This window comes from Homo sapiens, chromosome 2 (assembly GCF_000001405.40).
Source record: "Homo sapiens chromosome 2, GRCh38.p14 Primary Assembly".
Lineage (NCBI taxonomy): Eukaryota > Metazoa > Chordata > Mammalia > Primates > Hominidae > Homo > Homo sapiens.
In genome coordinates this window covers 108,890,807-108,914,969 of record NC_000002.12, presented here as the reverse complement: position 1 = coordinate 108,914,969, position 24,163 = coordinate 108,890,807, and the positions used below count along the sequence as shown (strand labels likewise).

The following is a 24,163-nucleotide window of genomic DNA, read 5'->3' as shown; positions in this document are numbered from 1 at the left end:
CTGCACTCCAGCCTGGGTGACAGAGTGAGACCTTGTCTCAAACAAAACAGAAAAACAGTCCAACTAGGAAGCTTGCTTCTCCCGGAAGCCTTGCTGCATGGGCTGACCAGGCACAGTGCTGGGCCATTCCACTGGGCTGGGCCAGGCTGGGGAGGTACCTTGATTTGGGGATGGCAGCTGGCCTTGTCCTTGACTCAGGGGCTGCTTTTCTGTAGACCAAGTGCACTTCACGGATTTCTCCAGAACTGGTAGAGACAAAAGTGAGAGAGTGGGAGATGCATTTGAAGCATGTTGGCTTTATTATTTGCAAAACTGAAGTCTGGCCCAAAAGAAGGTTGATCTTCTTTTAGGAGGTCTGGAACAGGACGTGGTCTCTTCTGTGGTGGAATGTTTTTGTTTTGGCTGAATGGTTGCGTCTTAGTGATTTGACTGAGAGCAAAATCAGCTTCCATTTTATCCCCGCTAAGTCACACTTTTTCCATAGAAGGGGAGTTGTGGGAAGCATAGCTTTAAGGGAAGGCAAAGCACACCTTGCTCTGAAACTCTTTGGTCACAACCATGTAAAAACATGTCTGAGGAAAAATCCTAGGCAGAAATACAGCAAAAGTCCACTTAGCCAAGGAGGCCATGGGTAGTTCTTTTCCTCCTTTCTTGTGTTCTTATTTTTCCAGATTTTTATTTTTATTTTATTTTTATTTTATTTTTTTTTGAGACAAAGTTTCACGTTTGTTGCCCAGGCTAGAGTGCAGTGGTGTGATCTCGGCTCACTGCAACCTCCACCTCCCGGGTTCAAGCGATTCTCCTACCTCAGCCTCCTAAGTAGCTGGGATTACAGGCATGCGCCATCATGCCTGGCTAATTTTTTGTATTCAGTAGAGATGCGGTTTCACCAGGTTGGCCAGGCTAGTCTTGAACTCCTGACCTCAAGTGATCCACCCACCTTGGCCTCCCAAAGTGCTGGGATTATAGGCATGAGCTACCGCGCCCGGCCCCTTTTCTAGATTTTTTTTTTTTTTTTTTGAGACGGAATCGCACTGTGTCACCCAGGCTGGAGTGCAGTGGCGCAATCTCAGCTCACTGCAAGCTCCGCCTCCTGGGTTCACGCCATTCTCCTGCCTCAGCCTCCCGAGTAGCTGGGACTACAGGCGCCTGCCACCACGCCCGGCTAATTTTTTGTATTTTTAGTAGAGACGGGGTTTCCCTGTGTTAGCCAGGATGATCTTGATCTCCTGACCTCGTGATCCGCCACCTCTTGTCCTTCTAACAAGAAGAACTCATACCCATACTACGTAAAGATAGCTATCGCATACACTTTTATCACCAGCCTCCTTCCCACAACAATATTTATATGTATAAATCAAGAAGCTATTATTTCAAACTGATGCTGAACAACAATCCCAAAGTGCTGGGATTACAGGCGTGAGCCACCATGCCTGGCCCCCTTTTCCAGATTTTTAATAGTGAGCATATATTACTTTTATGACTGGAAAAAGTATTAACACATTCCTACTCTATGTAATTGAAGGAATTAGTCAAGTATTGTATCACCCTAATAGTACTTTCATGTACACACTCTATGTTGCTTATTTTTATGGATTTCATATACTTTGTCTCCACGCATAGGAAAATTGAGTTGGTGAGGCTTGCAAAACTCCCCAACCCACACTGTTTAGTTTTAGCAGACTTATCACATGAGTGTTTTCATTTAAAGAACAATAACCAGCCGGGCGCGGTGGCTCATGCCTGTAATCCCAGCACTTTGGGAGGCCGAGGCGGGCAGATCACAAGGTCAGGAGATCGAGCCCATCCTGGCTAACATGGTGAAACCCCGTCTCTACTAAAAATACAAAAAAATTAGCCAGGTGTGGTGGTGGGTGCCTGTAGTCCCAGTTACTTGGGAGGCTGAGACAGGAGAATGGCGTCAACCAGGGAGGCAGAGCTTGCAGTGAGCCGAGATCACGCCACTGCACTGTAGCCTGGGCAACAGAGCAAGACTCCGTCTCACCAAAAAAAAAAAAAAAGAACAATAACGATGACTCTTTAGGGTTCATTAAACAGTCTAAGAAATACAAATATTTAGCTCCCCTCAGCCATCACTGCCTCAGGCCCATTCATGATCATGAATCCAGATCCATGAGCTCTGTGGCAGCGTCTTTGAAGGTGGAGCTTCTCTGGATCATTTGAGGGACTCTATTTTCCTTGCAGGTGTGGGAGCCACTTCAGGAGCTTCTGCCAACTTCCCTGGCACCTCGGGCAGCAGCACCCTGTCTCCCTTCCAGCACGCCCACAAAGGTGAGGAGGGTGCTCAGGTATCGATCACCTGGAGTTAGGTGGTACTCGGATGAAAGCTCAGAAGAGGAGAGGAAATGATCATGAGTGATGATTATGGTGCGCTTCCCCACCTGGCCTCACCTCCCTAATGTAATTGAATGACATGTTGCCCCCCGTGCAGGAAGTCATTATATCTGCAATCAGAGTTGATCCCTCTATGGGTGTCCTGGGACCGCTGGGAGGTGCTGGTGGTGAAGGCGGGGGCATAGCGGCAGGTGGACAGCACAGGCAGCTGCAAGCCCGGCCAGGAGGAGAGACCAGGCGTCCTGGGCTTTGGTTTGGCCGGGAGTTAACAGCAATTCTATCACTGGTTTTCATATAAACATGCTGACCATAGCACTTTAATATTAACTTGCAGAATGTACATTTCATTCTCCCTAACCAGGGAAGAAGGGATTGAGGAGGACCCCAAAGTTTAATATGTCTCTCAGAGTCAGCCCTCCAGCTGGCTTGGCCTTTCTCTCTCACTGGTTTAGTGCCAGCCCATTATTGAAGCATGTTTCGGGCCCAGGTCTCAGCGAGCCGTGAGGTACCCTCCAGAGCCCTCAGAGCACCCAGCTCGTCAGCTTCATCTCTGGGCCTCCCACGCGCTAACGCAGAGCAAAAGGCAGGACTGCTGGGCGAGGATATATGAATCTCATTTGCACAGGCCCCGGGGGGAGTAGCTCAAAACACGGAGAATATTAAAACACTTATGTCATCCAGACCTGGCATGCTAACGCTATTACAGGTATTCCCCAGATGATGCTGGGAGGCTGGTTTTCCTGCAGATGCACCCACAGGGGAGGCTCAGCGCCCACATGCGGGGTTCTCAGCTCTGGCACTACCTCCCCCGAGATGATTTGGGAGCTTCAGATGCTGGTCTCCTGTCTATTTGGGTGGTGGCAAATCTGGATCTTAGTTCAAGACAATCAGAGTCCTGTTTGGTTATTTTAGAGAATGAGAATGAGCTTCAGGGCATTTTATGCATCCAGGGTCGACATTAACCTGGGAACTGAGCAAAATCCCCCGGGGTGACTGAGGGACTGCCTGGTGGAGGCGGCAGTGCAGGTGGAATAGGTGGCCCAGCCGAGGCACCCCCTGTGCCCTGGGGCTCTTACAATGACACTTAGGTTGAAATTGCATGAGGTGCAAGATGGAGCCAAACCTGGAATCCAGAGCTGACTTTCGCATCCTGACTTTTGTTTGGAAATGCCCAAACTTGAATTGTGCTGCCTTCCAGCCACTCTTGTTCACTGGCCTTTCTTCCTCTCCACACCAAACCCTGCCCTCAGGTTGCCAAAGCAGTAGAAGCAAGAGCAAACTCCCTAGGAACAATCAGGTGACCCCAGAGAAGTCTGGAGAGGCCAGTCTGAGGGCAGCGAGCAGGGCTGTGGGCAGTCCTGGTCTGGCAGCCAAAACCAGCGCGGAGGATTTGGTTCTCAGTCTAAGCAAGCACCTCAGATTTCAGGGTTCCCTGAAAGCATCCCAGGGGCAGGGCCATTGCTTCCAGGGGCCGGAGTCCTGGAGGGAAGACCAGCAGGGATCCTGAGCTCTGGGTCATTCATGCCTTCTCTCCACCCACAGAACTCTCAGGCCAAGGACACCTGGCCACTGCCCTGATCATTGCAATGTCCACCATCTTCATCATGGCCATCGCCATCGTCCTCATCATCATGTTCTACATCCTGAAGACAAAGCCCTCTGCCCCAGGTGACGGCCCCCATGCGCCGGTGCCCTGCTTCCTGGACTCTCCGTCAACTCCCCCTGTCGGAGAGCCTGGCTGCTCACTCCCTCCTCTCTCCCCAGCCTGTTGCACCAGCCACCCGGGGAAGAGCGTGGAGGCCCAAGTGAGCAAGGACGAGGAGAAGAAAGAGGCCCCAGGTCTGTGAACCAGGGCTTCCACACACCATGTGCACGGTGCCCATCTCTGGGTGGAGGGCGTTCCCAGAAGCAGCCTCCTCGCTGCTTCTGCTCTCACATGCTGAACCATACTGTGCTTACCGTGGGGTGGTGCCACACAGACACCGGGCAGCTCTGCCCAACAGGAAGAGCAGGGTTGGGCTGAGCGCAGAGCCATGAGCCAATTCTAACTCCTATCTCCCCAACCTCCCCATTTCCCTGCAGACAACGTGGTGATGTTCTCCGAGAAGGATGAATTTGAGAAGCTGACAGCAACTCCAGCAAAGCCCACCAAGAGGTATGTGGAAGCCCCCAGCACCAAGCTGAAGCTGGGGTCCTGTGGATCCTGAGCAGGGAGGGGAACCAGGGTGCAGCCGAGTGAACTGACAGGCTAGCCTGGGACACTATGGGGACGTTCGGCGACAGACAGTCCCCACCACCTCTTTGCTGACTGGCAGGGGTCAGGTGGTGTGAGGAGCCTGTGGAAACAGCTGCCTGCTGCTCTCGGGTCAGGCCCCTGTCCCTGCATCCTGCCAAATTCCCTGGGCCTTCCTCCTTAACATCCGAATTCCTCATGCCCCTTCTCCAGACTGGGAGGGCAGAACATAAAGCCAAGGATGCATGCCTGTTGCGGCCAACACACCAGTACCACCCGTGCCGGTGCCAGTACTGCTGCCACCGTAATGCTGGTAACAACCGTGGTGATGACGGCTAACAGCATTTGGTGCCTACTGCCCACCAAGTGCTGGGCTAGGGCTGTGAACACATCCTCCCTCCACAGCCCAGGAGCAAGGTGCTTGTATCATCCCTGTTTATAGGATACCACACTGAGGTATGGAAGTTGTCACTCGCCCAAGGTCACACACTAGTGAACAGCAGGGCTGGGGTCCGAGTCCAGGCTCCCAAGGAGCCACATGGTGTAAAGAGGCCTCTGGAGGAGGAGATTTGGCAGGTGAAGCCTTTCCCGCGTTTACCACACATGAAGGTGTGGAACCAGCCCCTGCTCTAAAATCGAGGGTAGAGGGAAGTCAATATTTTATTCATCCAGTGGGATGGTCATTTGGACTTGGTCCTGCGTAGCTTCCAAAAATCAACCCCACAGCATCAGCTCCCAGCCAGGCAATGTGCTCGGACCCCCCTGCCAGGCCTCTGCCCGACAGCCACTGCAGGCTGCGCCTGGAAGGACACCCCCGCAACAGTGCCTCCCTTGGCAGATGGGGCACAGAGGCCACCAGAAGGTCACCAAACTGGTTACAGGAAGAGCAGAGGTTAAGCCCTCCTCTCCTGCCCCCACCCCATGATCTTCCTATGATTCACCTTGCAAAGCCATTCCAATCGATCCAGCATCTGTGTGGAGATCCTGTGTGCCAGATCCAAGCTGCTGCTCCCAGGACCAAGGGCAGGACCTGGTCACCCTGCATGGAACTCTTAAATAGGGCCTCCCTAGAGACTGAATTTGCTCCTCAGCCTCCAGCCCAGCCTTATCTCATTCTGTCTCAGCCTCTCCCTTCTGATATTCAGGCTTTTCTTATTCCCAGAAATCAAAAAGGCAGAGACGTGCCCCATGACTTGAGTTGCAGTTGAAGACAGGGAAAATTTGGAGGCCCTATTAGGAAAAAATATATACTGCTTTCATACACGAATATTAAATACAAATTGAACCCTGACACTTGTACGTTAAAAGACAGCAAGGCACTGAGCTTTTGTCCCTGCTGTTTGTCCTTAGGTCTCAGAGACAGGACCTGGGGTGCCACCTCACCTGCTCCACCTCACCTTCTCTCGAGTGGGGACAGGGATGGGTCCTACCACCTCCTTGTGAGGCCCTGAAGCCTGATGAGGAAGTGGGTCCCACTGGGGCTTCATGATGGTTCTCATTGTCTTTGTATTACCCTGTCTCTAGGGTTGTGTTTGCATATGGGCTTCACTGCTGTAACCTAGTTACTAACAAATATAATCCTTTTTTTAAGAAAAAAAGGTCTTCAGCCAAACCACAGGAAGCAAGCAGGATGCCTCTAAAAAAGAATATTGTTTTTCATATACTTGGAATGGTTTTAAGAGAGTTTAAGCTCCAACCCACATGTGCCTAGGGCAGACCCTGGGTTCTTTGTGGGCTGTGAGCCACAGGGCGGCATGAACCTGGGCTTGGTGGGTCCGACCGCCCACCCAGCTCACCCGCTGGGGCTTGCTGTGCCACCCCCTGCAATGCACACAGGTCAGCCAGGTCACCCCCCTAGTCAAGAGGGGGCTTTCCAGGCACAAGGCTCCATTCAGCTCCCTTTTCAATGACTCCAGAGAGCCAGCATGGATTCAGCGCCAGCTGCATCAATCTGTTTGCTTAACATGAAGACACCAGTTGAACTTGGTGCTTACTGGGATTAAATACAGAGATCTAGGACATATTCAATGAACCTTCACGGAGCATCCATTGTGTGTCAGGTAGCAGGGAAGGAGAGGCCCGTGGATGCCTCCCACACGCAGTGGCAGCCCCAGCCCCTTAGACGCCTGCAGGTCACCCACCACGGACTTGTTTGTTTGGAAAGAAGCAGGAAGCCACCGGTGTATGTCTCGTCTCATGTCCCCTGGTCCCGTGCCCACAAGGTGCCCAGTAAACACCTGAAAAACAAGTCATTGCCCCCCACTGTCCACAGCTGGGCAATGGACAAGTTCACCACAGGAGAACTTGTCAGGGCTGCAGCCCCCCCAGGCACTGCTAATGACCATCGCTCTTGTTTTTGCAGCGAGAACGATGCCTCATCCGAGAATGAGCAGCTGCTGAGCCGGAGCGTCGACAGTGATGAGGAGCCCGCCCCTGACAAGCAGGGCTCCCCGGAGCTGTGCCTGCTGTCGCTGGTTCACCTGGCCAGGGAGAAGTCTGCCACCAGCAACAAGTCAGCCGGGGTGAGGCTCCTGCAGGTGCCATGATGAGCTGTGAGATGTGGCTCCCTCACAGCCGCAAGACTAAAACTTTCTTATTGAATCAGCTCTCCTGCAAGACGGGGTGTTTCTCCCAGAAGTCCAAGATAGGAGACCTGGACAGTGACAAGTTCACAGCAAGATAGTCAAAAGGGAAAAAAACCCTTTCGTTTTTGAGTTTTGTTTTTTTTTTTTGGAGATGAGAGTCTTGCTCTGTCACCCAGCCTGGAGTGCAGTGGTGCGATCTCGGCTCACTACAACCTCCGCCTCCTGGGTTCAAGCAATTCTCCTGTCTCAGCCTCCCAAGTAGCTAGGACTACAGGTGCACGCTGCCACACCCAGCTAATTTTTTTTATATTTTAGTAGAGACGAGGTTTCACTGTGTTGCCCAGGCTGCTCTCAAACTCCTGAGTTCAGGCAATCCACCCGCCTCGGCCTTCCAAAGCACTAGGATTACAGGTGTGAGCTACCACGCCCAGCCACTTTGTTTTTATTATATAGCTTCATACACAAAAACGAAAAATAATAAGCAAGGAGAAAAAAGGTAAAATCACTTGGAATGCCAGAGGGCAGAAAAAGACCCTTGTAAATATACGGGGTTTTATCTAACCAGACAATTTTCTAGACACACACACACACAACGTTTTTCTTCTATGCATTTTTAAAAATATAAAAACAGGTTCACATGTAGAAACTGTCCCCAGGGTTTTATCACCTACCGCCCTGTAATGTGCTGTGGCCAGGAGCAGGGCAGGGGTGAGGGCAAAGGTGGCCAGAGCCCTCTTGGGCTCCCTGTAGACCTGGCCTGTGGTCGTCCCTCTAGCCTGTGCCCCTGGCTGCAGGCCCCAGCCGCAGGACAGCTGTGTTGCTAGGCAACATCACTGATGGCAAAAATGCCCAGTTGGGATCCTGGCTCCAGCCTGGTCCTGATAGGATGCCAAGCTCTGCCTGCCCCGAGTTCAGTGACCTCTGTAATGGGGCTGCCACTTGCAGAGACCCTGGAAGCCTGTGGGGTTGTTACAAGGGAGATAGGTGGCCATGGCCCCGGGACTCTTCAGCCAGGGCCACTGAGCAGCTGTGCACCGTGGGCCTGGTCTCCTGGCACCAGCCACGTGATCCGGGATGGGAGCCCCGCACGGCTCTGCTGCAGCACAGATGTCCTGAGGGCAAGTGGGGGTCCCCATGGTCATCTTTTCAAACAGACTGATGCCAGGGGTGTCCCCAAGTATCTTACGAGTCTGACCACCCAGCTGAGCCTAAGACGCACCCGTGGTAGACCCCAAAAATGTTTGAATAGGAAAACCTGAAGAAGGCCCTCCTCCCTGTGTGTCAGGGCTGGGCTGCTGACACGGGGGCTGTGTGCAGCGTCTCTGGTGTTGGGCGTAGCTGCTGCCTGCCCCTGCTGACATGGAGGATTTGCCTCCTTTCTACTGTTGCCCCTTTCTGGAGATGAAAATTCTCGACTCTTTTTCACAGATTCAAAGCCGGAGGAAAAAGATCCTCGATGTGTATGCCAACGTGTGTGGAGTCGTGGAAGGTAAGCTGAAAAAAAAGCCTGGGAGAGGTGGTGCCCACCCCACCGACATGAAGGGCTGGGCCCGGAGCCCTGAGGCTCCTGTGAGGGGAACTGAGGGAAGCCGCCCATCCAGTTGCCGCACTTTGGTCAGAATGGCCGCTGGAAACTATTTCAGGTGTGGGGAAACAGAATCTTGTTCCCAGATATCGGAAGGCATCTCCCAGTGCTTCCATGGGCCTTCCCCTCATGGGGCGGGAGACAGCCTGGTGCAGGCACCCACTGTAGGGAAACGCAGGGTCGGTGAGCAGCAGCCACGGAGCCTCAGACCTCCCGTGTCCCCAGAGACCGTGTCCACACTGGCATCATCATCTGGGAAACGTGATCAGTCATTTATCCTAGACTTAGCTGCCCTCTCCCTGCCCTCGAGCATCCCCGATGTCTGATAGCCCTGGGAGCCTCCAGCCTCCCCTCCCAGCGGCCTTCTGAGCTAAGTCAGGCTGTCTCCCCATAACCTGGGCTTGAGTGTGGGCAGGTTAAGAGGCAACAGGATAGGACCGTCAGTGCTGCAATCTGAAATCATAATCCTCAGCTTCCAGTTCCTGCAAAATCCACTTTCTAAATTACCTTCTTATTAACCCCAAAGATAAATCCCTCATGGCTGAGGTCAGGGGTTTTCCTGCTGCTGGACTCGCTGGCCTCCCTCCGTGGACTCCTTGATCTGGCCGGGCAGCGGGAGTGGAGCCTGGTGCATGCTGGGCAGCTCACCAATGCCCCCATTACCCCTCCTCCCACCCCCACACCCCACCGTAGGCCAAATGCAGCCCCCTGTGCCCTGGCAGGCTTTCTGATCCAGTGCTTTGTTGGCCAGAAATAACTATACTGTGGGTGAGTTCCAGGGCCAAGAATTCTTGGCTGCCGCTGAAATGTGGCATCTCTCCATAAACGCATGCCCCAGGTCAGCCTGCCTGATCTCACCTGGCATGGCCTGGGGCTGTCAGCTGCCCAGGGGAGGATGGTCTAGGACTCACCTTCCATCCACCAGGAAGCTCTTCTCTGTTCCAAAAAATGTTGAGTTCACACCCCTGGGACAGAGGTTTTCAAACCTCAGCCAGGGCTGAGAACCTGTGCTCCATGCCCAGCTCTGATGAACATTAGAGTCACCTGCAGGTCTTAACACCCTCTCTGCCCATCCAGCCCACCCAATCTGCCCAAACACCCTGATGTAATTAGTCAGGGGTGAATCCCAGGCATCTGTGTCTCTTTGTTTTTTGTTTTGTTTTGTCTTTAATTAAACTTTTTATTTTGAGATACTTCTTACCATGCAGTGGTAAGAGATAATACAGAGAGATCCTACATGCCCTTTACCCAGTTTCTCCTAACGATAACATCTTGCAAAACTATACACAGAAGTCACAACCAGGACACTGATATTGACACAGTGATATCGACTCAGCTCCCATACAAAAACTCCTCCTGTTGCCTTTTATAGCCACAGCCAATTTCCACCCACCCCACCCTCACCTAGGCCCCTGGAAACCAGTAATCTGTTCTCCATTCCTATAATTTTGTCATTTCAAGAGTGTTATAAAAGTGGAATCACAAGGTATGTAACCGTGGTGAATGGCTTTTTTCACTCAGCATAATTCACTGGAGGTCCATCCAGGTTGTTGCATGTATCAATAGTCCATTCCTCTCTCTTGCTGAGTAGTAGTCTGTGGCATAAATGGACCAGAGTTGGTTTAACCATTCACTTGTTGAAGGACATCAGGGTTATTTCCACTTAACGGCTATTATGAATAAAGGTGCTATAAATATTTGTGTATAGGTTTTTGTGTGGACATCAGTCGTGATTTATCTGGGATAAAGACCCAGGAGTACATTTGTTGGGTTGTATGATAGTTGCATGGTTGATTATTTTAAAAAACTGCCAAACCGTTTTCTAAAGTTATTGTACCATTTTACATTCCTACTAGCAGTGTGGGAACGGTCTAGTTTCTCCATATGCTTGCCAGCATTTGGTGGTGTTACTATGTTTTGTTTTAGCTATTCTGAGAAGTGTGTTATGATATCTTATTGTGGTCTCAATTTGCATGTTCCTATTGTTTAAATATGTTTTCTTGTGTTTTTTTCATCTGTGTGTCCTCTTCAGTAAAATGAATGTTTCTTCATGTCTTTTGCCCATTTTTCAATGGTATCGTATGATTTTTTTGCTGTTGAGTTTTGAGGGTTTTTAAAAATATATTCTAGACACTAGTCCTATGATGGATATGTGGTTTTATAAATGTTTTCTCCATTCTATAGTTTAGCTTATCTTTTCAGTCTCTTAACAGGGTCTTTCATAGAATGATGTTTTAAATTTTTATGAGTCAAATTTATGAAACTAATTATAAAGTTTTCTTTTTATGGATGATGCTTTTGTGTCAAATCTAAGATCTCTCTTGCCTAGTCCTAGATCCCAGAGATTTGCTCCCACAATTTTTTCTAGAAGTTTTATAGCTTAATGTTTTACATTCTAAGTCCACATAGTTTTTATGTTTTACATTTAAGTTCACATAGTTTTATATTTTGCATTTAAGTTTGAGTTGATTTTTATAGAAGATATGAAACTTGGGTCAAAGTTCATTTTTTTGTCTATGGATGTCCAATTGCTCCAGCACCATTTTTTTGAAAAATTATCTTTCCTCCATTGAATTGCTTTTCAAACTTTGTCAAAAATCAGTTTGGCATATTTGTATAGGTCTATTTTCTGGGGTTGCTGTTCTGTTGCATTTATCTACATGTCTGTCCCTCTGATAATACCACAAGGTCTTGATTCTTGTATAAATTATGTAATAACATATAAGTCCTGAAATCAAATGGACTGCTCCCATTTTCCTTTATTTTTTTTTCAAAAATCTTTTAGCTATTCTAGTTCCTTTGCCTTTCCATATAAGTTTTATAATAATCTTCCCTATATGTACAAAATGCCTTGCTGGGATTTTAATGAGTTGCAACAAAACTGTATATCAATCTGGGAAGATTTGACATCTTTATTATGTCGAGTCTTCTGAGCCATGGGCATGGTATATCTCTTCATTTATTTAGCACAACTTTAATTTTTTTTCATCTGCATTGTGTAGCTTCCGAAATACAAGTTCTGTGCATATTTTGTTAGATTTACACCATATCATTTATTTTTTGAGCCACTGTAAACGACAATTTAAATTCAGTAGCCATACATTCATTGTTAGTTATATAGAAATACAATTGATTTTTGTATGTTTATCCTGTATCCTGTGACCTTGCTGAATTCACTTATAAGATCTGGGAGTTTTCTTGTAGATGCCTTGGGATTTTCTACATAGATAATCACATCTGCAAATGGGACCGTTTTATTTCTTCCTTTCCAATCTGTGTACCGTTTCTTTCCTTTTCTCATTTTATTGCACTGGCTATACCTTCCAGCACTACAGTGAATATAAATGATGAAGCAGAAGCAGAAATCCTTGCCTTATTTCTGATCTTAAAAGCATTCCATTTTTCACCATTAAGTATAATATTAGCTCTAGGCTTTTTATAAATTGTTGACATTAATTTTTTGAGTGGATTACAATAATTTTTAAATATTGAACCAGCCTTGCCTCCCTGGAATAAGCCATACCTGATGTGGTACAATTCTTTTTTATGGTTGCATTCTATTTGCTAATATTTTGTTAAGGATTTTGCATTTATATTCATGAGAGATCTTGGTCTTTGGTTTGTGGTTTGTTTTTTGTCTTTGTCTGGTTTTGGTATCCAGTTTATACTACCCTCATAGAATAAGTTAGGAAGTGTTTCTTCCTTTTCTATGTCTAGAAAAGATCGTGTAGAATTGCTATTCTTTCTTAAACATTTTGTAGAATTCTTCAGTGAAATCGTGAGGACCTAGAGATTTCTTTTGGGGAGGTTTTTTTGTTTTGTTTTGTTTTGTTTTTGAGATGGAGTCTCGCTATGTCACCCAGGCTGGAGTGCAGTGGCACAATCCTCGCTCACTGCAACCTCTGCCTCTCCAGTTCAAGTGATTCTCTTGCCTCAGCCTCCCAAGTAGCTGGGATTATAGGCACATGCCACCATGGCCCAGCTAATTTTTTTTTTTTTTTTTTGAGACGGAGTCTCACTCTGTCCCAGGCTGGCAACCTCCACCTCCCAGGTTTAAGCGATTCTCCTTTCTCAGCCTCCTGGGTAGCTGGGATTACATGTGCATGCCACCATGCCCAGCTAATTTTTGTATTTTTAGTAGATATGGGGTTTCACCATGTTGGCCAGGCTGGTCTTGAACTCCTGACCTTGTGGTCCACCTGCTTTGGCCTCCCAAAGTGCTGGGATTACAGGCTTGAGCCACCATGCCCAGCCCTAATTTTTGTATTTTAGTAGAAATGAGGTTTCACCATCTTGGCCAGACTGGTCTTGAACTCCTGACCTCAAGCAATATACCCACCTCGGCCTCCCAAAGTGCTGGGATTACAGGCGTGAGCCACCGCGTTTGGCTAGATATTTTTACAGTTACAAATTCAGCTTCCTTAATAGTTATAAGTCTGTTCAAATGATCTATTTTATATTGGGTAAGTTGTGATAGTTTATGTTTTTTGAGGAATTGTTTATTTTCATCTAAGTTATCAAATTTATATGTGTAGAGTTAAAGTTGCAAGTTTTATCTTATTATCTGTTTGATATCTATGGTGTGTATAGTGATATCTCCTGCTTCATTCTTGATATTGGTAATTTGTGTCTTCTCTATTTTTTCCTTGTCAGTTATATTGATCTTTTCAAATAACTGTCTCTTTTCATATTGATCTCTTTTACTTTATAGTTTTCAATTTCATTGATTACTGCTCTTATTTCTAAATTACTTATTTCCTTCTATGTACATTTGGTTTATTTTGTTAATCTTTTTCTAAGTGCTTGAAATGGGAGCTTAGATTGTTAACTTGAGTTTTCCTCCTTTGTATGTATCTGTCCTATAAATTTCACTCTCAGTACTACTTTAGCTGTGTCTCACAAATATTGACATCTTGTATTTTTATTTTCATTCATTTTTAAATTGTCTTTGAGACTTCCTCTTTGACCTGTGGATTATTTAGAAGACTGTTGTCTGGTTTTCAAGTGTGTGAAGATTTTTCTGTTATATATTTATATTCTGATTCTATTGTGGTAGGGGAATATCCTTTGTATAATTTCAATTCTTTTAATTTGTTGAGGTTTAAGGCCAATAATTATGAACAATGTGTATTCTGCTGTTGTTGAATGGAGTGTTCTATAAATGTTGATTAGATCGTGTTGGTTGATGATGTTGGTAAGTTCTATATTCTTGATTTTTTTTCTAATTGTTCTATCATTTACTGAGGGAGGAATGTTAAAGTCTTCAACTATAATTGTGGACTTATCTCTTCTTTCAGGTCTATCAGTTTTTGTTTCACATATTTTGGAGCTCTGTTGTTTGGTGCATATTCATTTAGGATTGCTATGTCTTCTTGGATTGACCCTTTAATCATTATTAAATGTCACTTTCTGGTAATTTTTTCCTCTGAAGTCTACTTTAACTGATGTTATAGCCACTCTGCCTTCTTGTTATTGAAGTTTGCATGATATGTATTTTTCCATCCTTTACTTCCAACGCCTCTCTCATTATATTGAAGTGAGTTTCTTCTAGGCAGCATATAACTGGGAAAATTTTTAAGTCTACTCTACCAAGCTCTACCTTTTAGTTTTTTTGTTTTGGTTTGGTTTGGGTTTTTTGTTTTTTTTTTTTTCTTTTTTTTTGGAGTTTCCACTCCTGTTGCCCAGGCTGGAGTGCAATGGCATGATCTTGGCTCACTGCAACCTCTGCCTCCCAGGTTCAAGTGGTTCTCCTGCCTCAGCCTCCCAAGTAGTTGGGATCACAGGCATGTGCCACCACACCAGCTAATTTTGTATATTTAGTAGAAACAGGGTTTCACCGTGTTGACCAGGCTGGTCTAGAACTCCTGACCTCAGCTAATCCATCTGCCTTGGCCTCCCAAAGTGCTGGGATTACAGGCATGAGCCACCAGGCCCAGCCTTTAGTTGGTATTTAAACCATTTACATTAAATGTAGTCATTGTTAGGGCTTAAGTCTGCTATTTTATATTTTGTTTACTGTTTGTTGTCTCTGTTTTTCATTTCTGTGTTTTTTTATTCCTGCTTTACTGTGGGTCACTTGAACATATTTCAGAATTCGATTTTGGTGTTTTTTGAGTGATACATTTTGATTTTATCTCTTTCCATAGTTATTTTAGTAGTTTCTCTAGACATTGCATTGACACATATAACTTATCAGTCTACTGGTGTTATTATTATTATTATTTTTGACATGGAGTTTTACTCTGCCACCCAGGTTGGAGAGCAGTGACACGATCTCGGCTCACTGCAACCTCCGCCTCCCAGGTTCAAGCGATTCTCCTGCCTCAGCCTCCCGAGTAGCTGGGATTACAGGTGTGCACTACCACGCCAATGTGTTTTTTGTGTTTTTAGTAGAGACGGGGTTTCACCATGTTGGCCAGGCTAGTCTTGAACTCCTGACCTCAGGTGATCTGCCCACCTTGGCCTCCCGAAGTGCTTGGATTATAGGTGTGAGCCACCGTGCCCAGCCTTACTGGTGTTATTATTTTGCCAGTTTGAATGAAGTATAAAAACCTTACCTTTCTCTATGTCCCTTTACCTTCTCTGTTTACAGTAGTTGTAAATATTTCCTCTACATATATTTAGAACCACATAAATTGCTTCAACTGCCTAATGTAATTCAGAAAACTTAAAAAGAGAAGGAAAGTCTATTGTATGTGCCCATATTTTTGCTCACTATGTTCTTTTCTGATGTCTCAAGTTTCATTCTTTTACTATTTCCTTTCTGTTTATAGAATTTCCTTTTGCTTCTTTTAGGATAGGTCTGCTGGTGAAAAATTCTTAACTTTTCTTTGGCTTGGAATGTCTTGATATTCTCATGCTTTCCTGAAGGATATTTTCACTCAGCTCACTGCAACCTGGTATGCAACTCTGGGTTGAAAGTTCTTTTCTTTCAGTACTTGGAAATACTGTGCTACTTCTCTCTGGTCTCCAGGTTTCTGATTATAAGTCTACTGTCATTCTAATTCTTTTCCCTCTCTAGGTCAGGCGTTGTTTTTCTTTGGCTGTTTCTAAGACTTTGTCTTTAGTTTTCAGAAGTTCATTTATGATGTATCTTGACATGAATATATTTGGGTTTATCCTGTTTGGGATTTGCTTATCTTCTTGAATCTGTAGACTTACGTCTCTTTACAAATTTGGAGAGTTCTAAACCATCATTTATTTGAGTATTTATTTAGTCCCACTCTCTTCTCCTCTCCTTCTGAAACTTCTTGACACAAATGTTAGCTCTTCTGTTATAACTCCACAGTTCCCTAAGGCTCTGTGTTTTTCAGTTTATTTTCTCTGATTGAGTAATTTCCACTTCTAGTTTCCATTATCCATCTCACTGATTCTTTCCTCTGTCTTACTCTGTCATTGAGCACATCTACTGAGCTTTTTATTGTGGTTATTGTACTTTTGTAGTTCTAATATTTTCATTTCTTTTTTACATTTTCTATTATTTTTCCTGAGGATTTCTATTTTTGCATTTAAGCATGTTCATAATTGCTTGTTGAAGCACTTTTATTATGAATTCTTTAAAACCTTTTTCAGATTATCTAACATCTGTCATCTCAGTGTTAGCATCTATTGATTTTCTTTTTTTACTCATTTGACATCTTCTTGGTTCTTGGTATGATGAGTGAATTCACTTTGAGACCTGTGTAGTTTTATGTCCTGATATGAAACTCTGGGTCTTATTTAAGCCTTCTATTTTAGCTGGCTCCTTTTGATAGCTCTGTGGCAGGAGAATGAGGGTGCTGTCTTGCTACTGTTGGGTGAAGGTAGACATCCAAATTCCCCACTCAACCTTCACTAACACTCAAGGGGGATTCCTTTTTACTGCTACTTGGGGTTTGGGAGTATGGCTACTGACATGGTCACCACGGGGGCAGAGGAGTTTTTACCAGCTGGTTGATGAGAAAGCCCCAGCTCCCTACATGGCCTTTCCTGACACCACCTGGCACAGTGTTACAGCCTGGTGAGGGTGGAATTCTAGGCTCCCCACTCAGCCTTTGCTACCCTGGATAGAGTGGGGACACAGTTTTTCTGTGATGTTTGGCTGGAATAGAGCAATTATTGTCTAAATGTTTTATGCTTGCTAGGCTGCTCTTTTCCTAGTGCTCTGACTAGAGACAGAAGACTTTTGTTGGGGCTGTTTTTGTCTGTGGTTGCTATTATTTCCAGATTTTTGGACTTTTCTGCCCCATGTCTGGAATTTATGAGGCAAAAGAAAACCCAGGGAACTTACCACCATCACCATCCTAAGGTATCGAGGTCCCTAGTTGGTCTGTCTTCTTTTCTCCACTTTTCAGACTTCTTGTATTTGTTTTACACAGAATGTCCAGGGCTTTTAGCTGTACTTAGTGGGAGGATTAGGGAAAATTATATCTACTCTTATCTTCCAGAAACAGCAATATCAAGTTTTTAAATGCTCCTAGGTGAGTCTAATGTACAGTGAAGCCCAAGAACCATCAGACCACTGAGTTGGCAGTGACTTGGTTCAGATAACCCCAATCTGGGGCTATCATTGAGAGCAGCCATCACAAAGTTGACTACTGTTCCCTAAAGAGACATGACACTGTCCCTTTGAACCCCTCCTCAGCCCAGCCCCATGGGAGACAGGGTTACCCAACTAAGGATAACTTGTCTTGAAGTCTTTGAGAACTGCTAAAAATGGTCATGAGGGAATTATTATCATTGTCAATATAGCAGTCATTTTCCTAGTGGGGAAGGGGCTATTACCGGGGTCAGGGTACATGCACAGCCCTCTCTTGTGGCTGGCAGCGTTCTAGGTGTCGTTTGCCTTAAGTTATGCATTTGTTTTAGGTGGCTTTCTGCATGTTTTATAATTTTAAAAAAATTTTTTTCAAATAATTTTTATTTCATTTAAATAATTTTTCAGTGTTGACCTTCTATTGACTGTGACTTGCAACATCTAACTGTGGCCATTGGTGTCTGTAGGTCTTAGCCCCACGGAGCTGCCATTTGATTGCCTCGAGAAGACTAGCCGAATGCTCAGCTCCACGTACAACTCTGAGAAGGCTGTTGTGAAAACGTGGCGCCACCTCGCCGAGAGCTTCGGCCTGAAGAGGGATGAGATTGGGGGCATGACAGACGGCATGCAACTCTTTGACCGCATCAGCACGGCAGGCTACAGCATCCCTGAGCTACTCACAAAACTGGTGCAGATTGAGCGGCTGGATGCTGTGGAGTCCTTGTGTGCAGACATACTGGAGTGGGCGGGGGTTGTGCCACCTGCCTCCCAGCCACATGCTGCATCCTGAAAAGCATGCCTGTGGGCTGTCCTCCCAGGACAAGCCAAGGAGCCAACGAGGGCTCTGGAGCTGTGAGTGGTGCCAAAAGACTGCCAAGAATCAAGGCTTTTGTGATATGTCACCGTATGCCTTAGGATGTTCAAGGAGCCAGACGAAATAAGGCCTGTCTTCCAATTTAACCAAAGATAAAGGACTAGAGCCGGGATACTTTCAGATGCTCGCCTGTACCTCACCAGGCAGAGTAAATATCTACTCACTCATACAGCCAGCCCACCAGCCCACCATTAACTCACTGAACAATGAGACAATGTTGAGGACTCAAATGAATCAAACCCCGTGGGAATGACAGAAGTGAAGAATCTGGTCCCTGTCTTTAAGGAGTTTGCACTCCAGTAGAAGACAGAAGGAACGTATGTTTACAAACCACTTCACTGGAAGACGTCAAACAAGCTGAATGAAGGGGCGCTTAGAAAACGTTAATAGAAGTTCTAAGCGGGAGATGACTCCCTACTGGGATGATGAAGGATGGCATCCTAGTGAAGAAGCAGCTCAAACATTTTGATAAAATGGCAACAAAATGCAGACACCCTGCTCCAGGTATTATTTCAGGTTTAGTACAAGTCTGTTAATACCCTATGTGGTTTCATTAGGATAACTTTTTACCTATCCTTGAGGTCATCCATATTCTTACAGGCCTTCCAGTCAATAATGGAAGAGCTCACTCTATACAAAACCAATATGCAAGGCATGTGTTTGTCCAAGCAATTGGATGTGTGCAGTAGCCAATTTCATTTACTGCATTACTCTTTGGCCTGGGAACCCTGTGGTCTGCACTACATGTGAATGGCCTTCCACTTCAGTCTTAGGCAGATTTGACCTTTTAGGGGCAGCAATGCTGAAGGACACAGCAATTTAAATTATAATGTGTCAGGCTGTGTTTTCACTTCAAACATGTATGAGTAGTCAGCTGTAATTAGAGAAATGATGACTTCCTAAGAGTTCAGCCACGCATAATTCTAGATTTCAAGAGCATCTAAGACTTGTGGATTAGCCTCATGGCATGAGAGTTTCAGACTCAGCCTTCTGAGCCAGTCAGGGAAAGTGGAGTTCTGCAGCGCAAATGAGAGCCTGGGCTTGATGTCGAGGGAGCTGGCTTCTAGTTGTGCCACCTTGGGCCTTGTCTTTTCCTCTCTCTGCCTCAGTTTCTCGTCTGCCAATGAGATGTTAGTTAGTGATTCTATAATTGGGGCAGGTAGGGTTCAGGTGAGCAAAAAGAAAGTGGAGCTATAGGAAATGCCAGGCCTTTGAGGTGCTCTATGGAAGTCAACACAGTGTGGTTTGTCCATTTAAATGGGAATAAAAACAGAAAAACTCAGACTTGGCATTTTCACAATAACTGCAATGGTTTGACATAACATTTATAGGCAGAAAGTTAATAAACTGGCATTGTTCTTGGCATATTATTGTACTATCCCTGTAACTGCCAAGAGCTCAGGAGCCAGGCTAGTGATCACACCAGGGGTTAGAGTTCACTGCTGAACTCCCTGATGGCAGGTCTGTGTTTATTACTACATTAAAACAAAGTCTCTGACTTATAAAGCGAGGTTGTAAAAATTACAAGTTGCATGACTGAAAAAATGCTTTAGGGGGAAAATCAGTCATATCTTTAACACCAACAAGCAATTTCCCACCAACGAATGTAGTACATACTGTGAGAGGATCATAATGAGGTCCTGAATATTTAATATCATCATTTACTGTGTCTGTTTGCTGCTGTTTTTCGAACCTATTTGGTTTACCCTGCAAGCTAAATACTCCACGGCAGAGCTTAATTATCCTTTTAATTCCTCTTTGAAATCCTGTGGTGCCCCCTTCCCCCTGCCTTGTGATGATGATGAGTGAGTCTCCCCTTAATTAGACTGCAAATGTCACTTGTGATGAGTGTGCCATTCCAGGATAACAGCTTGCACCCTCCTCAGAATGTTTTCAGCGAAAGAGTGGGGTGGCTGTTCTCTGCTCCTGGTGCTTTGGCCTCATTTCACACTATTAGAATTCTGGGGCTGTAAGGCCAGCCAGTGTCAGCTCATGTTCCATTGGCTCTCCACCTGCCATTTTTAGGGAGCTATTCCTTATATAGTTACAAATTCCCTTGTCATTTACTTATTTGGAAACATGGGATTTACTCTGACAAGCTTTAGCCTATGTTATGGGATTCAGAACAATGAGATCATAATAATTCTCACTGACCAAAGCTGGGACTCCATCCTGCCATTTTTGTGTGGAGATATTCATAATTCTGCAATACTTTAAAACATTTAGAAAACACCCCAGGGTAGGTCTGTGGCCCTTAGACAGTGAAGTCTTAATTGTCAATATTATTTTTGTCTAATTCTGTATATATATAACTTATTATATTTTATAATCTCAATAAACACATTAATAAGATTTATAGACTACCGTAATGTGAGCTCTCTTTGTATTTGGGGTGGTGGGTCGGGGGGTGAGTGGGGAAGGTTCTGATTGCTCTGTTCCTGGTTATTGCCCTATGTATGATGAGACTGTAGGATTGCAACCAGCTATAAACAAAGTGCCTAAAATGTTATGGCCTGGGACATTCACTAGGCAGAAGCAAACATTACAAAGAGATCATGTAAAAACCACCTGGAGCATTGCTTTCCAAGTTGCCATCATTAGCTCATAAGGCATTGTATCACTTATCTATTTCTGTGTAACAAACTGTCTTGTCTTAAAATTCAATGGCTTAAAGCAACAGTCATTTATTATCATAGCTCGGGGGTTAGTAGGGGGTCAGTCAGCTGACTTAGGTTGGGCTCAGTTGAATGTGGGTCAACTGGGGCCTCTGTCTGTTGGAATACCTTAACTGGGGCAGCTCTACTCCATCATCTCTGTCAACCTAGATAGATAACAGAGAGAGGCTCTCTAAAAGAAAGAAAATGATATGTATTGGGGAATAGGGCATTGCAATGGGAATACATGTGCCATAGTAAACTATGCGTGTTTTTGAAGAGGTAAAGGAAGACAATGGTTCTTAGAGGAAAATAAGGAGGATTACATAATTATTTTGAGACAATTATCCTTGGCTACAAGGATAATAAGGGTGGTGCCAGTCCAGGGTTGGACAGGGAGTTGCTGGGCAGAGGTCCTTGCAGGAGTCTTTGTGTGTGTTTAAGATTGTCATGGCCTTTGTGCAAGGTTTTCGTTTTTTCAGTCTTGTGATGGCTCTTGTTATCAGTGATTTATGCAGGGAGAACCCTTCTTTCCTGGCCTTCCATGACTCTATTTGTCAGTTTTGTTTTGTTTTTTAAGCACAAGTGACTCCTTTATAATTCTGACAACTTCCACATTTCCCCCATTTGATCAAGATCTTTATCAGAAAGCATCCCCAGTGAGTCATCCCATATTATTCCTTCGTGCCAGGATAGACCTGTCCTAGGTGGCTGGTCTGGTCTCACATTGGAGGGATTTGATGGTGACTAGGAGTCAGTGTCAAAACCCTTTAGCCATGTTTGAACAAATGGGAAGTTTGGAGAGAGTGGCTCTCAGGCTAGGTCTACTTGAAGTCTACTGTTAAATTTGATTTTGTCTGTTCTGTAAACATTTGCTATCATCATCTCAAAATGCAGGGCCAGTATTATTCTGTTAGAAGGTGTACTTCTACTGAGATTTGACAAGTAACAGGAAGTTTAAAAAAGGAAAATATAAAGGAAAATTAAAATCAATAGTAATATGAGAATCCCAGTTTGCATGATGATTTTGAGCCATGAATGTAGGTTTAAAGGCAACCAAATGAATAAATGAAATAACCATGAGGAATTAGGTGACCCTTCTTTTATCCTTGTGGCCTCTTTCTTTATTTTGTGAACATGGGTCTCAACTTTCCCAGAGGAATTTACCTAGGTACAGCAATGTAGTATTAGAAATAGCACAGACAAAGATGGCTACTAGAAGCATTTCATGCCAGCCTCTTCCACTTAGAACAAAAACAGTGTGTAGACAGTCACACTTTGAATACATTATCCAAGAGAGAACACTGGAATTCAACAGAGAAGTGGCAGGAAACACCAAAAGCAGGGAAGGAGAAGGGAGACAAGCAGCCTGCCTAGCCAGGATCAACTAGGAGCTGGGAGTGACTTCCCAATTCAGGGAAAGGGTGAATAAGAGACTTCCAGTGGCCCAGATCCCCAGCATGAACTCATGTAATCCTGGCCATGAGAGACCCCTCAACCCTCCCAACCACTGAAGCTAACATAGGGAGCTGCTGGGAGACCATGGGATGGAACTGCTCCAGAGATGGAGTTTGCACTGGATCCCACACCTTTCTGAGACCTAAGCAACTACAGCAAGACACCATTTTCAAACCTAGCCTTGGGTAGATTGCATGCTGTCCTGGGGCCCAGAGGCACTGGGACTGAGGTGTTACAGAAACCCAGATTGTTGCTGCTGGGAATGGGGAGTGAGCTGCAAGCACTTCCACAGCCAGGGCTAAGAAACAAACAAGGAAAGGGTTGCAGTTGCTGATGCCAGGAAGTGAGTGCTGCTGGGACAGAAATTAGGATGCTGAAAGGGTGTAAGTTGCCACTGGGACTTGCTCACCAGCTGAAATGGGGCCTCCTGCAGCCAGGGTGGGAGGGTGAGACAGGCATGGGCTAACATTGTCAAGGCTGGAAAGCAAGCCCCACTGGGACTGTGGGAAGGACATACATTCTCACCTACCAGCCCAGGCTGTGGCCACAGAGCACAGCCACACTCTGTCCAGTGGTAGCACTTTAGCACAGCTGCCATCATCCCTTACCTGAGCACTCTGCCTGGGGCCTGAGGATCACCTTATCCTGGCCACCAATGGTGGTGCCTGCTCTCACCAAGGGGCCTGAGCACAAACCTGCACAGCCCAGCTTTGCCCCCTCTTTCAGACAGGGCACATATTCTGGGGTCCTGGGAACTGTGCAATTCAATCCACCACCTTGGGTACCTGAGCATCTTTCTGGGGCCTATGGTTGGGCCTAAACTCCCAGCCACCATCACATCACCTGGTACCTCCTTGCAAGTGTCACCTGAAGGCCAAGAGGTTGTCTTACCCAGTCCATCACAGCAACCACCAACATCAATGCACACCACTTGGGACCCAGAGAATCGTCCTGCTACTGCTACTGCCATTGCTCATGCTATGCCAGCTGCCCAAAGGCCCAAAAACCCACCTACACACCCAATCCATTGCTGCCACTACCAGCAACTGAACAAGCCACCTGGAGGCCCAGAAATCAGCCTGCCAAATAACTGCCAACAGAGATGCCAGCTATACAGCCCTGGGCACAAACAGGCACACTTAGCCCATTGCTGTCATCACTAGGGCCTGAAGACTGGCCCATTTGGCATCCCAATCCCTAGTACAACTTCACCACAGCCTCCACTAATAACTTCACCCTAACCCAGTGGGGAAATCATGGATGCCACCAACACTACTTACAGCCTAAAAAATCATACAGAGACTACATTACTACGTGCATCCAGAATCAAAGCCAAAGTACCCTACTCAACCAAAACCATAGATATATCTTTAGGAAAAAGTCTTCTTCTATGAAAGAAATTTCAAAAACAAGAAGAAGCAACAGTTACACCAGATGTGCAGAGATCCACTTAAGGACAAATGAAACATGAAAAATTAAGGAAATGTGACGCCTCTAAAGGAACATCAGAATTCTCAAGCAATAGATCTTAATCAAAAATAAATTTCTGAAATCCCAGATAAAAAATTTGAAATATTGATTTTAAAGGAGCTCAGTGATATACAAGAGAACTCTGAAAAACAATACAAAGAAATCAGAAAAACAATATGGGATATGAATGAAAAATTTATCAAAGAGATAGATTTTTTTTAAAGAACCAAACAGAAATTCCAGAACTGAAGAATTCATTGAAGGAAATATATAATACATTTGAAAGCTTCAAAAATAGATTGCATAAGGGAGAATAAAGAATCTCAGAACTTGAAGATAGCATTTTTGAAATAATCCAGTCAGACAAAAAGAAAAAGAATAAAACAGAATGAGTAAAGCCTTCATGACACTTGGGAAAACACAAAGTGATCAAA

The 24,163-nt window shown here is 45.4% G+C and overlaps 2 protein-coding genes across 3 annotated transcripts in view, besides 1 other annotated feature; one reads left to right on the top strand and one right to left on the bottom strand.

Moving 5' to 3' along the window:
• Window positions 1–20,499, top strand: part of EDAR (ectodysplasin A receptor) — a 94,750-nt gene extending 74,251 nt beyond the window's left edge. The window contains exons 6-12 of one of the 2 annotated variants that reach the window (NM_022336.4): window positions 2,206–2,292; window positions 3,898–4,023; window positions 4,120–4,194; window positions 4,438–4,510; window positions 6,951–7,110; window positions 8,602–8,662; window positions 17,741–20,499. In NM_022336.4, coding sequence (NP_071731.1) covers window positions 2,206–2,292; window positions 3,898–4,023; window positions 4,120–4,194; window positions 4,438–4,510; window positions 6,951–7,110; window positions 8,602–8,662; window positions 17,741–18,063 — 905 coding nt within the window. In that variant the 3' untranslated portion in view covers window positions 18,064–20,499. Of the gene's footprint in view, window positions 1–2,205; window positions 2,293–3,897; window positions 4,195–4,437; window positions 4,511–6,950; window positions 7,111–8,601; window positions 8,663–17,740 lie in introns of both variants that reach the window. The other variant, XM_006712204.2, reaches the window with a different exon arrangement.
• Window positions 1–24,163, bottom strand: part of RANBP2 (RAN binding protein 2) — a 1,122,820-nt gene that overhangs the window by 927,332 nt on the left and 171,325 nt on the right. The window lies entirely within an intron of this gene.
• Window positions 4,626–5,127: an enhancer, noted in NCBI's record as "H3K4me1 hESC enhancer chr2:109526299-109526800 (GRCh37/hg19 assembly coordinates)". NCBI's record gives its function as "activates a minimal SCP1, AML or CMV promoter by ChIP-STARR-seq in naive H9 embryonic stem cells {active_cell/tissue: H9 hESC(naive)}" and the evidence as "EXISTENCE:reporter gene assay evidence [ECO:0000049][PMID:30033119]".